Below are 13,860 nucleotides of genomic sequence, written 5' to 3' on the forward strand. Positions count from 1 at the left end.
AAAAGAATCAAATCGCATAAGAACCCACTCACTTTCGTAAGAACAGAAAGCAGGAAGTCTGCCCCCATGATCCAATCACCTCCCACCATGCCCCTCCTCCAACACTGAGAATTACAATTCAACATGAGATTTTGGTGGGGACACAGACCCCAACCATATGAGTTTGCAACACATGAACTTTGGGGAACACATTCAAACCATAACACTGAAGGGTAATTTTTTAAAAAGAAGTTTACTGAATTTGCTTTTTCACTCTTAACCTTTTCACTTCCTTGTCACATAAACATGATCTTGTGCAGTATAGCACAAATTAAAAATGAACTGCAGTGTCCTTAATTTTTAATATTGTTTAATGGTCACTCAGAGTTCATGCTTATGGAAGTGTAAAAGTCTTCAATGCAGGCTTTTGTTTTTGTTTTCTCTTAATCTACCACCATGTGTTGGTTTTGAAATTGCAATTCTCTATGTATACACCTACATACAACAGCCTTTCACAGAATTTTCTTATGTAACTTGGGAAAAATTAGGGCACTTTGAAAGTAAACTTCAGAAATATCATATGCTAAGAATTCAGCCCTTATCACTTCAACTATCTAGAAATAGCTGAGAAGCAGGAAGGAAAAGAGGTCTCTGAACAATCAAATAATAACAGCTAACATTTATAGAGTGTTTGCTGCCTGCCAAGCACTGTTCTATCTGGATTACAAACATTACCTCACAAGAAACAAATGAGGGTGAGGATGTGGAGAAATTGGAACCTTTGTACACTGTTGATGAGAATGTAAAACAGTGTAACTGCTATGGAAGAGTATGGTGGCTCCTCAAAAAATTAAAAATAGAATTATCCTATGATTCAACAATCCCACTTCTGCATCTATATGCCAAAAGATGAAAACAAGATCTCAATAAGATATTTACACTCTCATGTTTATTCCAGCATTATTCATAATAACCAAAATGTGGAAGTAACCCAAATGCCCATTGATGGATGAATAGAAAATGTGATATATACAGGCAATGGAATATTATTCAGCCTTAAAACCTTGAGGACTTCATACTAAGTGAAATAAGTCAGTCACAAAAAGACAAAGTGTGTGAAGCTACTTCTATGAGGTATTTAATGTAGTCAAACTCAGAAACAGGATGTAAAACTGTGGTTTCCAGAGCTAGGGTAGGAGAAAATGGAGAGCTCTTGTTCAATGGACATAGAGTATCAGTCTCGCAATGAAAAAGTTCTAGAGATCTGCTGAACAACGTGAATATGGTTGATACTACTGAACTGTACACTTAAAAATGGGCTCAAAAATTTTTTTAGCTCCCACATATGAGTGAAAACATACAGTGTTTATCTTTCTGTGCCTGAGTTATTTCACTTAACATAATGTCCTCCAGGTTCATCCATATTGCCTCCAATGACAGGATTTCATCCTTTTGTATACATATTTTGTGTATATGTTCCACATTTTCTTTATTCATTCATCTGTTAATGGTAGGGTGAATACAGTTAATGATAGTTTATTGTATATTTTCAAGAAGCTAAAAGAGAGGATTTTGAATGTTTGCAACACAAAGATGATAAATGTTTGCGGTGAATGGATATGCTAATTAGCCTGCTTTGATCATTATAGATTGTATACATGTATTGAAATATCACTCTGTATCCCATGAATATGTACAATTATTATGCATTAACTAAAAACTAAAAATGAATGGAAATACATAACTAAAATGGTAAATTTTATGTTATGTGTTTTTAATCACAATGAAAAATAAACAACAAATAAATAACATAAAGAATGAATTGATAAACAAAATGTGAAATATATATGCAGTGGAACATTATTCAGATTTAAAAAGGAATTAAATTCTAAATACATGCTACAACATGGATGAACCCTGAAGATATTATGCTAAGTGAAAAAATTCAGACATAAAATGACAAATATTGTTATGATTCCACTTATATGAGTACCTAGAGTGGTCAAAATCATAGAGTCAAAAAGTAGAATGGTGGCTGCCAGGGACTGGGGGAAGGAGAGCATAGGGAATTGTTGTTTAAAGAGTTTCAGTTTGGGAAGATAGAAAAGTTATGATGATTGGCGGCGGTGGTGTTTGCACAATAATGTGAATGTGCATAATTCCACTGAACTGTATACTTAAAGAGGTTAAAATGACAAATATATATATTTTGCCACAATTTTTCTTAAAAAATAATGTATGACATTATTCATGCACAAATGCAAGACTGGGCTGGAGGGACTACAAGCCTTACTTTTTGATGCTTGTGCTAATATTCATACATCCAAAAATCTAAAAATTAAAAACAATGAGGTAGTGTGGTAAATTACAGATGGCCACAAAGTCTTTGCTACATCTTCAATTAAGAGGTGGACTCTTATTCTTCTCTTGAATCTGGGCTGGCTTAGTGGCTTTTTTGACCTAACACGACGTGATGGAAGTCACTCCTGGGACTGCAGAGGCTACATTATATGAAGTTTTGTAGCTTCCTCCTGTTTTGCTTGGAACAGCTCCCTTTTTTCCCATTCTACCTCCAAGTGCTCCCTGTCAAAACCCAAACACCACGGTATAAGAAACCCAAATCAGAGGGAAAGCCCAAGTGTAGGCACTCTGATAAATAGCTCCAACTGAGCATCTAGAGATCAGCCAGCCTCAACTGCCATCAATATAACATCTATTAGAGGCTGACATTAACTACAGCCCCAGTTTGATATCTGACTGTAAATGCCAGAGACTGCAAGCTAGGACTGCCCAGCCTAACCCAGTTACCCTACAGAATCAGGGCAGATAAAATTTTTAGCCACTAAATTCTGGAGTGACTTGTTACGTAGGTACCATAATGTCTATTTTAAAGAAACCTGAACCTTAGAGCTGAAGTGATTGCCCATTGTCTCTCTGCCAGTAAGCAGAGGAACTCACAGTTAACCAAGTCTTTCTGGTTCTAAAGCCTGCATTGCTGACTACTAAATACACAACTTCTCAGTCAAAACAGCTACAATAGTTTTTTTTTTTCCTTTTTACCTTCAAAAAAAATCCTGTATTTGAATTCATAGTGGAGTTCTGCCATATACGCCAAGTCTAAGGGTAGTTAAGAATAGCCTTGATATGCATAGCACCTTCTGCAGTTGTGCACTGAACAGGCTCCATAGCCATATGAACCTGTCCTGAGCAAACTCCAACCACTATCCCTGACCAAAACTTCTCTTGAGTATTAGTCATCATTTTAACAAAGGGATTATCTGTTGTTTAGGTACCTAAGGAATTTCAAGGAAGAACACGGGCTGATACTAGAACTCATGGAAGAATGAAAAGAGATACTTTAGAATTTAATTAAAAAGTGGGGATTGAAAATTAAAACAACACAGCGGTTTAAGGTCATTTACTGTAGGGCAAACTTTCCTGCAGCGCTCAGGGACCCCATGATGGTGCCACTGTACAGGAGAAATACTAACTCAGGACCTTTTTAATGAAAACCTGTAACATCAAGGTACAAATAAATCCTAGAGATGAAGGGATACATATAACATGCTCTACCTGAAAATGTTAAAACTAGTTTTGATATCTTATTATATATAACACTCATAGCAGTGAGAAAATATCTTTAACATTTATTACAATGATTTGTGGTAGGAAATTTTCTAAACTTGAGGTAGGAAACCTTTCTTACTCATGAGTATTCATTTCAGGTCCCACTACAGTGCTTTTTACAAAAGGAGGAATGCTAATAAAATGAAAATCATATTCCATTGAATTAAAAATTCAGGCCAATTGTGCTGAAATAAATCTTACTGAATGCCTTCTAAATATGCCATGCCCTGCACTAGAAACTTTCGTAATTCCTATTTATTCTTCAGAATAACCTGGGAAACAGAAAAAGCTAAAGTCTGTTTCCTTTATTAAAGTTTGAATATGAAGAAACCGACAGAAGCAAATAGCATAAAAATTCATTTTTGTCTTCAATTACAGGAAGAATGTAACATGAAAGCTGAGATTACAATGAATAGTACATGAATATGATGAGGTTTTGTTTTGTTTGTCCTACCAGAGCTCCAAATAAAAACACAGATATATGGTTTGACATACGGAATGGGATAGCTAAAACTGTGACTGCCTAAGACAAGCTGAAACCTAAGGTGCCGAACCATATTGGGGAAAGAGGGGAAAAACCAGTAGGTCTGCTATCAATCAAGAAAAGAATAAGAAGAAATGGGATTCCCAAGCCTTCTTCAGCTTTTTCTTCTCCAGCAGAATAGCCTAGTCAATGCTACGTCTTGTCAAATTGTGTCTCACATGGCTTTAATGCACACTAACTTTCCTAAGAAGTATTTGTATCTATTTAAATCTAGGGATTTTAGCCCATATTAATTACATGTATATTAGGGCAAGAACACAGGATGTAAAAGGTAAAAATCTGAATTTCAGTCCATCTGCGAGACATTGTGAAAATCAATTACACTCTCTGAAGACAATTCCTTATCCATTAAACAACAGAAAAGGTGATTAAGTTGATCCTTGCCTACATGTCAGAGTCGTGTAGAGTTTTTAATGACACTCATGTGAAATTCCTTTGGACTGTAAAATACTATTACTTACGTGCAAAGATAATGTCCCGAAATCACAGAAGGGATGACTTAACATTAACATCTTTAACTGCGCCCCCGTCCTTCCTCTCAAAAAAAAAAAGTTCTCTATTTTTAGTTGAATGATTCTGGGAAAATCTCTATTGGAACCTATCGACTTCGCAAATGACAAAGGCGAGGTCCAGAGACTTATCCAAGACCCCAGAGTACCAGTGGAAATCAAGACCAAACCACACGGTGGAGACTGGTTCCGACGTATCAGACTCAGTGCTTCCGGCATGGCGCTTTAGTGTCAGGTGAAAGAACAGCAACCCGCCCCGCTTCTCCACCCCTGACAAGCCTTCCGAAATGCCACGCTGAACATGGCTGCCGCGCTTCGATGCTTCTTCACACACACAATATGGACACGGGTTTGAGGCTCCAGCCCCGGATGACAACACTCCGGAAATATGCGAGCGGCGGCGGAAGCGGAAGTGCCTCAGCGGTAGGGGCCGGGGAAGTGTCTGTAGCGTCCCTCCCTCTCAACCACAATAACAGGCGGAGGGTCGGCGTAGGTGAGGCGGCGGCTGAGTGGGCCTGGGGACCGGGAGCGGGGTGGCAAAGCCCGGAGTGCGTGCGGCAGGGCTGAGGTAGCTGGGTGGGGATTCTGGAACTTCCGACCGCTTAAGCTCGGCCTCTGGCCCCCTTGGGGCCTAGAGCTCCTTGAGAGATCAGGGGTTGAATTTGTAGTTCCTGGCCTTCTAGGCCGTGCTTGCGGGGGTTGCCTGCTTGTCTGAACCTGGCCCCAAAATCCAGCATAAAGAACTCTCTCTGGGCCCCAGTTTCCTCAATGAAATGGGTGAGGGTGTTGGACTGGACAGCTTCTGTGACTGTCTCCCACCCCGGGCGTCACGAATTTCATGATTTTAATGTTAAGTCGGTGTTTCGGCCAGTAAAGTGAAGGAGGTCTGTGTTCAGCGTAGTGAGGAGATGTCCCTGAGCAGGAAGCAGTGAACACATCTTTGGCTGCCACGCCTGAGTATCAGGAGCCCTGAATTCTAGTTTCACCCCTTCCACCTACACACCGTGTGACCTTGTCTAGGTCCATTAGCTTTTCTGTGCTGCAGTTTGCTTATCTGTGTTGGATGCCTTTGATGTCCGTGCCCTAGCTGTGGAAATCAGATTCTTAACTCCCTTTTCATGGAGTCTTTACAGACCTGAAAAGCATATTCTCCCTGCACTCTGCACACCCAGAATTTGACTAAGAGATGTCTACCGTGTTTCTTTGCAGACACCAAGCTGGCCAAGGGCAACTGGTCACTTAGGAAGGTTCCTGTGCAATGAGAAGCTCTGTCCAGAAAACTTTGTTTTATACACCTAAACCAGCAGTGTAAATCACTACAAAGTGAAAAACAGGAGACCTTGATTTTTGTTCCAAAGTTGCTATTAACTTGATGGTTTACTTTGGCCAAATCCCTTCCTCTCTCTGAACTTGAGATTTTTTTATCTGCTAAAGGAAGACGTTGGATTAGGTCACTGGTTTTTAATCCCCTTTCCCATTCCCCCAGCACAAGTGAAGGATAAAATAATAGTTCTATAAAGCCATGATTTTCCCAGGGAAGGAGGAGGTCCAGTCTGGAGGGTATGTATTACATAGGCATAGACTGAAAAAAATCCGCTTGTAATTTTTAACTTTCATTTTGAGAATTAACATTTTAGATTATCTGTAAGCCTTCTTTCCCCTCTTTAAAATATGTGATGCTGTAATTCTGATGTCCTCCTTGGGTAAAGAATGTAGAGTTTTGTGTGCCTCTTTGTTTAAATGGCTGTGTGCCCAGAGGTACACACTTTATATTTAGTCAAACAGATACTAATGCATAGCAGAGGAGAAAAAGGGACAACTAGATTCCAGTAAGATAGGGTGATATAGTGAAGTAAAATTGGTGGTATACTAAAATGAAATAAGGTGGTATAGTGAAATAAAATTAAAAAGGAGTTGAAGACCTGTATCCCTGCTTCACACTGGTACATCCTGCCTCTGTGACTTTGGACAAGCCATCTAACATCTCTAGGCCTCACTTTCCTTATCTGTAAAACGAAGGGTTGAGCTGGATGATTCCTAGGCCTTTTTCAGCACCATCATCCTGTTGGGGGGTTTTTGTTTTGTTTTGTTTGTGTGTGGTTTTTATCTGAGCAGTTTGGTTTATGTGGTGTGGTATTTCTTTAGACAAGAGAGGCTGTCCTGGTCAGTAGATACACAAGATAGTCTATGATGTCAATTAAGGTCTGTGAGGTCAAATTAAGTGATATGCAAGATTACTTTGATATGAGCAAGCTGAAACCAATAGAAACTAAAGAAAGGCATGAGAAACTTGAAGGGCAGGGAAGCCCTTGACCAGATAGGATCATTGAGAATATAGGGAAGTTTCAAGTGAGAGGGGGTATTTTTCACGAGGGTAAAGAAAAGTAATTTGAGTTTGGGATGGGAAGGAGATTTGAATTGACGAGATAGGAGAACACTTTTTGGAAACAACTCTGGTTTAAGAATGTGCTTGCAACACCAAGACAAAAGTAATGCTTCCTGTGGCTAAGGTCAGCTAAGCAGGCAGCCACAGAGTGACTGTAATATACCAAAGGTGGCCATAGACCACTGCATGGGAGCCTAAATTAAATGGACCATAAATCCTAATTGGTGAAGGTAGGGTGTGGTCAGATGCAGTTCTATCAGAGCATCTAGAAGCCTTTCTCCAAGCACTAGGGCATTGCTCTGGAATGCAGGAAGACAACCACAGTGACAGAGGACTGACTTGATGATAGAATGTTTACTGTAACCTGGGAAGTCTGTATCCCAGCCTGAACCTTGACACTATTTAATCTTGGGCAAGTGATTTGTCACCTTATCCTCTCTGGTTCTGTTTGTTCATCTTAAAAATTTGGGATCACTAGATGAGCTTCGATGTCTGTGAATATGAACCCCCTGAAATCGTGTATGTATTTCTGCTTGCATGAGTCTGGAAAACGGATGTGCCACTTTCATCGTATTCTCAGATGGGTTTGTGACCCACAAAAAATTGAGAACTGTGTGATTAGGTAGTGTCTCTGGTCCTCTTCAACTTTTAACATTCTGGGATTCTGTAATTCTGTCATTTCTGACATTTCCTTAAGGTTCAGAGTCTTAGGGTCTAGAAGTTGCTAAGCCTATAGGTAACACCTGGTACCGCAAAGTATAGTCTTTATATATAATACTCTCCTCCTTATTTATTCAGGCATAGCTCAGAGATACTGCAGGTTTGGTTCCAGACTACTGCAATAAAGCAAGTCACAAAGTTTTTGGTTTCCCTGTGTATATAGAAGTTATATTTTACAATGTAGTATAATCTATCAAGTGTGCAACAGCATTATATCTAAAGTAATGTATACGCCATAATTTTAAAGTACTTAATTTAAAAAAAATGCTAACAATTAATCTGAGCCTTCAGCGAGTCATAATATTTTTGTTAATGGAAGATCTTGTCTCTGTCTTGGTGGCTGCTGACTGATCAGGGTGGTGGTTGCAGAACATTGGGGTGGCTTGGCAGTTTCTTAGGACAACAGTGAAGTTTGCCTCATTGATTGGCTCTTCCTTCTAGGAAATATTTTGTTGTAACATGCGATGTATGATAGCATTTTACTCACAGTAGAACTTCTTTCAAAATTACATTCAGTTCTCTCAAACCCTGGTGCTGCCGTATCAACTGAGTTTATGTAGTATTCTAAATCCTTTGTTGTCATTTCAATAATGTTCACAGCATCTTCACCAGAAGTAGATTTCATCTCAACAAACCACTTTCTTTGTTCATCTATAAGAAGCAACTTCTCATCTGTTCAAGTTTTATCATGAGATTGCAGCAATTCAGTCACATCTTCAGGCTCTACATCCGATTGTAGTTCTCTTGCTATTTCCTCCACATCTGCAGCGACTTCCTCCACTGATGTCTTTTGTTGTTTATTATTTCAATCCTGCTCCTCCTATAACCACAGAAGTCTTGAATCCCTCAGAGTCATCCATGAGGACTGGATTCCAAACTCTTGTTAATGTTGATATTTTGACCTCCTCCCATGAATCACAGACGTTCTTAACAGCTTCTAGAATGTGTATCCTTTCCAGAAGGTTTTGAATTTAGTTTGCCCATATCCATCAGAGGAATCACAGTCTATGGCAGCTATAGCCTTAGGGAATTTATTTCTTTTTTTTTTTTTTTTTTTTGAGATGGAGTCTAGCTCTGTTACCAGGCTCGAGTGCAGTCGTACGATCTTGGCTCACTGCAACCTCTGACACCCTGGTTCAAGCAATTCTCCTGCCTCAGCCTCCCAGGTGGCTGGGATTACAGGCACATGCCACCACACCCAGCTAATTTTTGTATTTTCAGTAGAGATGGGGTTTCACTATGTTGGCCAGACTGGTCTCGAGCTCCTGACCTTGTGATCTGCCTGCCTCGGCCTCCCAAAGTGCTGGGATTACAGGTGTGAGCCACCGGGTCCAGCCAGGAAATTTGTTTCTTAAATAATATGACTTGAAAGTTGAAAGTTCTTGATCTAGTTGATCTATTAGCTGCAGAATGGATATTGTGTTAGCAGGCATGGAAACAATATTAATCTCCTTGTGTATCTAATGGACCTCTTGAATGACTAGGTCCATTGTCAATGAACAGTAATATTTTAAAAGGAAACTTTTCTGAGCAGTAGATCTTAGTAGAAGTCTTATTTAGTATACTATACTGTAAACAGATGTGCTGTCTTTCAGGCTTTGTTGTTCCTTTTATAGAGCACAGGCAGAGTAGATTTAGCATCATTCTGAAGGGCCCTAGGATTTTCAGAATGGTTAGTGAGCATTGGCTGCAACTTCATGTCACCAGCTGCATTCTCTAACAAGATAATCAGCCTGCCCTTTGAAGCTAGGCATTTACTTCTCCCTAGCAGTGAAAATCTGATATGGAATATTATTCCAATGGAAGGCTGTACGTACTGAAAATCTGTTGTGTAGTGTAGCTACTTTCAGCCGTTATCTAAGTTAGATCTTTTGGATAACTTGTTGCAGCTTCTCCATCAACATTTGCTGCTTCACCTTGTGCTTTTCCGCTATGGAGACAACGTCTTTCCATAAACTCATGAACCACCCTCTGCTAGCTTTCAACTTTTCTTCTAAAACTTCCTCACCTCTCTCGGCCTTCATAGAATTGCAGAGACTTAGGGCCTTGCTCTGGATTAGTCTTTGGCTTAGGGAATGTGGCTGGTTTGAACTTCTGTCCATAAAACTCAGACTTTGTGTATATCAGCAATAGGCTGTCTTGCTTTCTTATCATTTGTTTATTCACTGGAGTAACAATTTTCTCAAGAACTTTTTATTTGTGTTCACAACTTAGCTAATGTTTGGCACAAGAAGCCTAGCTTCTGGTCTGTCTTGGCTTTCAACATGACTTCCTCACTAAGGTTAGTCATTTCTTGGTTTTGATTTAAAGTGAGAGATGCTCAACTCTTCCTTTCACTTGAACACTTAGAGGCCGTTGTAGAGTTCTTAATTGGTCTAATTTAAATATCATTGTGTCTCAGGAAATAGGGAGGCCTAAGGAGAGGGACAGAGATAGGAAGAACAGCTAGCCAGTGGAGCAGTTAGAACGACACCATATTTATCAATCAAGTTTGCCATCTTATACAGCATGGTTTGTGGTACCTCCAAAACAATTAAAGTAGTAACATCAAAAATCACTGATCATAGATCACCGTAACACATATAATAATAATGAAAGGATATGAAATATTGTGAGAATTACCAAAATGTGACACACAGACATGAAGTGAGCATGTGCTGCTGGAAAAAGGGCACCAATAAACTTGCCTGACGCAGTGTTGCCACAGACCTTCAATTTGTGAAAGACACATTATCTTTGAAGCACAGTAAAGTGAATCACAATTAAGGTATACCTGTATTCACCTGTCCCTCATGCTCCATGACTTCTCAGCAAGACTTCCTCCAAGTCATCTTTCTCTAATGCCGATAACTGGACTTTCCCCTCCTTTACTCTTTCTTTTTTAACCTACTACTGCTTTGTACGTTCTCTGCATTACTGAGTTTCTCAAGTGAGTTGAAGGCAGGGTGTTTAGTGGCAAGTGGTATTTTGGAGGTAGGAGTGAGAAAAAAACACAAGGCTAGTGATGGCAGTTTTCTCCTCACTTTCTTTGGTTCCTCTTCCAACTAAAAAGAAAAGCAAATAAGAGAAAGGGTGCACATTAAAAAGGGATACCGGCCGGGCGTGGTGGCTCACGCCTGTAATCCCAGCACTTTGGGAGGCTGAGACGGGTGGGTCACTTGAGGTCAGGAGTTCGATAGCAGTCTGGCCAACATGGTGAAATGCCGTCTCTACTAAAAATACAAAAATTAGCCGGGTGTGGTGGCATACGCCTGTAGTCCCAGTTACTCGGGAGGCTGAGGTGGGAGAATTTCTTCAACCCAGGAGGCAGAAGTTGCAGTGAGCCAAGATCGCGCCATTGCACTCCAGCCTGGGCAACACAGCGAGACTCTGTCTTAAAGAAAAAAAAAAAAAAAGGTACCATCACCACTTACTTGGGACTTGTGGTGTGTGAATTTCAAGTGTTCTTTCTCATATAGGGAAACCAGGTCCCTATTCATCAGTACCTGAGATGAAATACTCAGCATAGCCCAGCTGGGTATTTCACTTAAATGAAGATGAAGCCAACTTTAGCTGAAGCAACTTTGTTGTCCTTTATCAAGACTGAGTAAGGGTGGGGGAAAATAAAATATTTTTTGACCGAGGAAGCTTTTTATCTCCTGAACATTTTCAGAGACATCTACTTGGACTTGAGAAGGCTGCTAGATTTCTCCAGGCTATAAGTCCTGTCAATCTCCTATATATAAGATAGAGATGTTTTCTTTTACCCTAGTGTTTATCTCCACAAGTTCCTTCCCCACGATAGGCTTAGGGTAGGGGCCTCACTATTCACCTGCCTGGTAAGAACTAAAAGACCCAAGTCTTCAATTCTAGCCGTGATGTAAGAAACAGGAATAGTTTTACCTAAAATTTTGTCAGTCCTGCTAATTTAAAATTTAGGCTTTTTGCTAGTTAGTGTTAAAGGATATTGTAGGTTAAGAAGGTTTTTGTCAGCTTCCTGGAGATCTAACCTCAGTATAATATTGTATAACATCATTTCTGTGAGTAAATATTTGTTAACTCTCAATAAGTGGAGTTTTATAAACTCAATGATATTTAAGGTGCAGGGTATTTAGTCTAAAAATTTACGTATAGTTTGTGCACTAGGGCTACTAAATCTAATTCACACAAAAGCACCACATTGCAGAATCCTAAGGAACAATCAAAGGTGGAATCAGTAGAGGAAGGTGTTATTAGGTGGTGTGAATTTGAGGAAGAAAAAGGAGGAAGAAGGGATTAAAAAAAAGCTTTTTATTAAAGGAATAAAGAATCGAGCATCATCTCGATGAAGGATTGTCAAGATTCTTAAAGCTGAACATGTGCTAAAGTATAACAACTGGTGGATTGGTCTGAGCATCTAGGTAATTTGTGGGTGGATTAGTCTTTGCTGGTTAATCGTCCTGTTGAGGCTTTTACATGCTACAGAGTAGCTGTTAGGTGTGTCACTGCAGTAAAATCTGATTGCATTATTGTCTAGGTTATAAGTTTGTTGCTGAGATCATTGAATGCTGTGGTAGCAAACGTCTCATAAGAGCATGAAATGGTTTTTAGCAGCAGCCTCGAAGCTACTGGATGTATATAGAATAATGGAAAGACTGGTGGATATTCATACATTAGATATTTGAGGATATATTGTGAGCAAGGACTTGTTGTCACCTAGAGGCAAGATTTTTTAGCAGAAACATGACTAATAAATCACTACACAAACTGCTGTGGAAGCATATGTTAAGTCCCACAGGGAGCTCAAATGAAGGAGTCAGTAGGGGAAGCTTTTACAGAGGACTTACATTTAAGCTAGATTTTTACAGGCAGTTTTCTAGGCAAAGTAGGGAAAAGAAGGACATTTCCAGTCAGAGTTAAAAGCATATTAGGAATGAAACACCAATGGTTGTTTGGGGGAACTAAGAAGATACTGGTCTGCTAGAGTGAGTATACTGAGAGCAAGTGGTAAGGATTGGAAGAAGATAAGATTGGAACATCTGGTGTTTTGAGATTAGATTGGAAATATTTTATCCTCTGAACCAGGATTCCTTGTAGGCCGATTGTTTTGTTTTGCTTGGCCATGTATATTGTACTTCTTAAAAACAATCTGAAAATTTCAAATGATGGAGAATAATATGAAGTGAAAAGTAAAAGTTTTTTTCTGCTTTCCTAAACCTCTGTTATCACTCCTCAAAGGTTACCGGTTAATATTTTGTTGTCTTCTTTCATAAAATGTTGTATGCAGACACAGTATATTTGTCTTTTTTATCATACTTTTTAAAAAAAGTTTTAGGGGGTAATCTTTTTAATTTTTAAAATTATGTTGTTGTTAGAATCATACTTTAGATGTAGTCTGTGTTTTGCTTTTTTCACTTAACACTATAAATCAGGAGACTGTTTTAAAAAGATAACTGGCTTCAGTATAGAGTATAGCATGGTAAGCATTTATTCAATAAATTACTTATGGCAGGCATAGTGTCTGCTAAGCTTTTCCTCGACCCTGAGGATACAGTGATGGGTATCATTTAGGAAGCCATTTCCGTAGTGCACGTGAATGTTAATGGAGTCCCAAAAGGTAATGGGAATGGATGTAAGAACTGTATTGAGATAAAATTGATAAAAATAGCCCATCAATTGTCTGTGGGAAATGAGAAATCAGAATATATTTAGGATGATTTCAAGGTTTACAATTCAGGAATTCAGTAAAACACATTAGGGAAATAGGTGTGTTTATTTGTATATATCTGTGTATCTTTGTTTTGGGGAGGGGGAGGGTTCGTGATATGAAGGAGTTCATTTTGAACATAGTGTTTTTGAAGGATGTTCAAGTTATTGAGGTGAAAATTTCTGATAGGCAGAGGAAATAAAGTTCAGAGCTCAGGAGAGGTAAGAAGTAGAGTTGGAAATTTTTTCTTTTTTTGCTTTTCTTTGTGTGTGTGTGTGTGTGTGTGTGTGTGTGTGTGTGTGTATTTGTAATAGCTAAATCCTTGGGAATGAGTACAATTGCCCAGGGAGAAGAGGGCTCGAGGATAAATTAGCAAAGGAGACTGAGCAGTGGTCATAGAGGAACGACAAGAATCGAGAATATCACTTTC

The 13,860-nt window shown here is 39.3% G+C and overlaps 1 protein-coding gene and 1 long non-coding RNA gene across 10 annotated transcripts in view, besides 1 other annotated feature; one reads left to right on the forward strand and one right to left on the reverse strand.

Annotated features, from left to right (window-relative positions):
* FBXO38-DT (FBXO38 divergent transcript) overlaps positions 1-4,963 on the reverse strand; it is a 115,544-nt gene extending 110,581 nt beyond the window's left edge. The window contains exon 1 of the long non-coding RNA NR_105057.1: positions 4,612-4,963. This is a non-coding gene — a long non-coding RNA (FBXO38 divergent transcript). The remainder of the gene's footprint in view (positions 1-4,611) is intronic.
* Positions 4,848-5,047: an enhancer, noted in NCBI's record as "active region_23363". NCBI's record gives its function as "activates an Ori minimal core promoter by ATAC-STARR-seq in GM12878 lymphoblastoid cells {active_cell/tissue: GM12878}" and the evidence as "EXISTENCE:reporter gene assay evidence [ECO:0000049][PMID:35858748]".
* The window catches only part of FBXO38 (F-box protein 38), a 58,879-nt gene continuing 50,089 nt past the window's right edge, over positions 5,071-13,860 (forward strand). For 6 of the 9 annotated variants that reach the window (NM_205836.3, XM_006714797.3, NM_030793.5 and 3 more), the window contains exon 1: positions 5,071-5,152. The gene's annotated coding sequence lies outside the window, so the exon portion shown is untranslated. Of the gene's footprint in view, positions 6,220-13,860 lie in introns of all 9 variants that reach the window. The other 3 variants (XM_024446223.2, XM_047417784.1, XM_047417786.1) reach the window with 1 other exon arrangement.

This window comes from Homo sapiens, chromosome 5 (genome assembly GCF_000001405.40).
Source record: "Homo sapiens chromosome 5, GRCh38.p14 Primary Assembly".
In the NCBI taxonomy this organism is placed as follows: domain Eukaryota; kingdom Metazoa; phylum Chordata; class Mammalia; order Primates; family Hominidae; genus Homo; species Homo sapiens.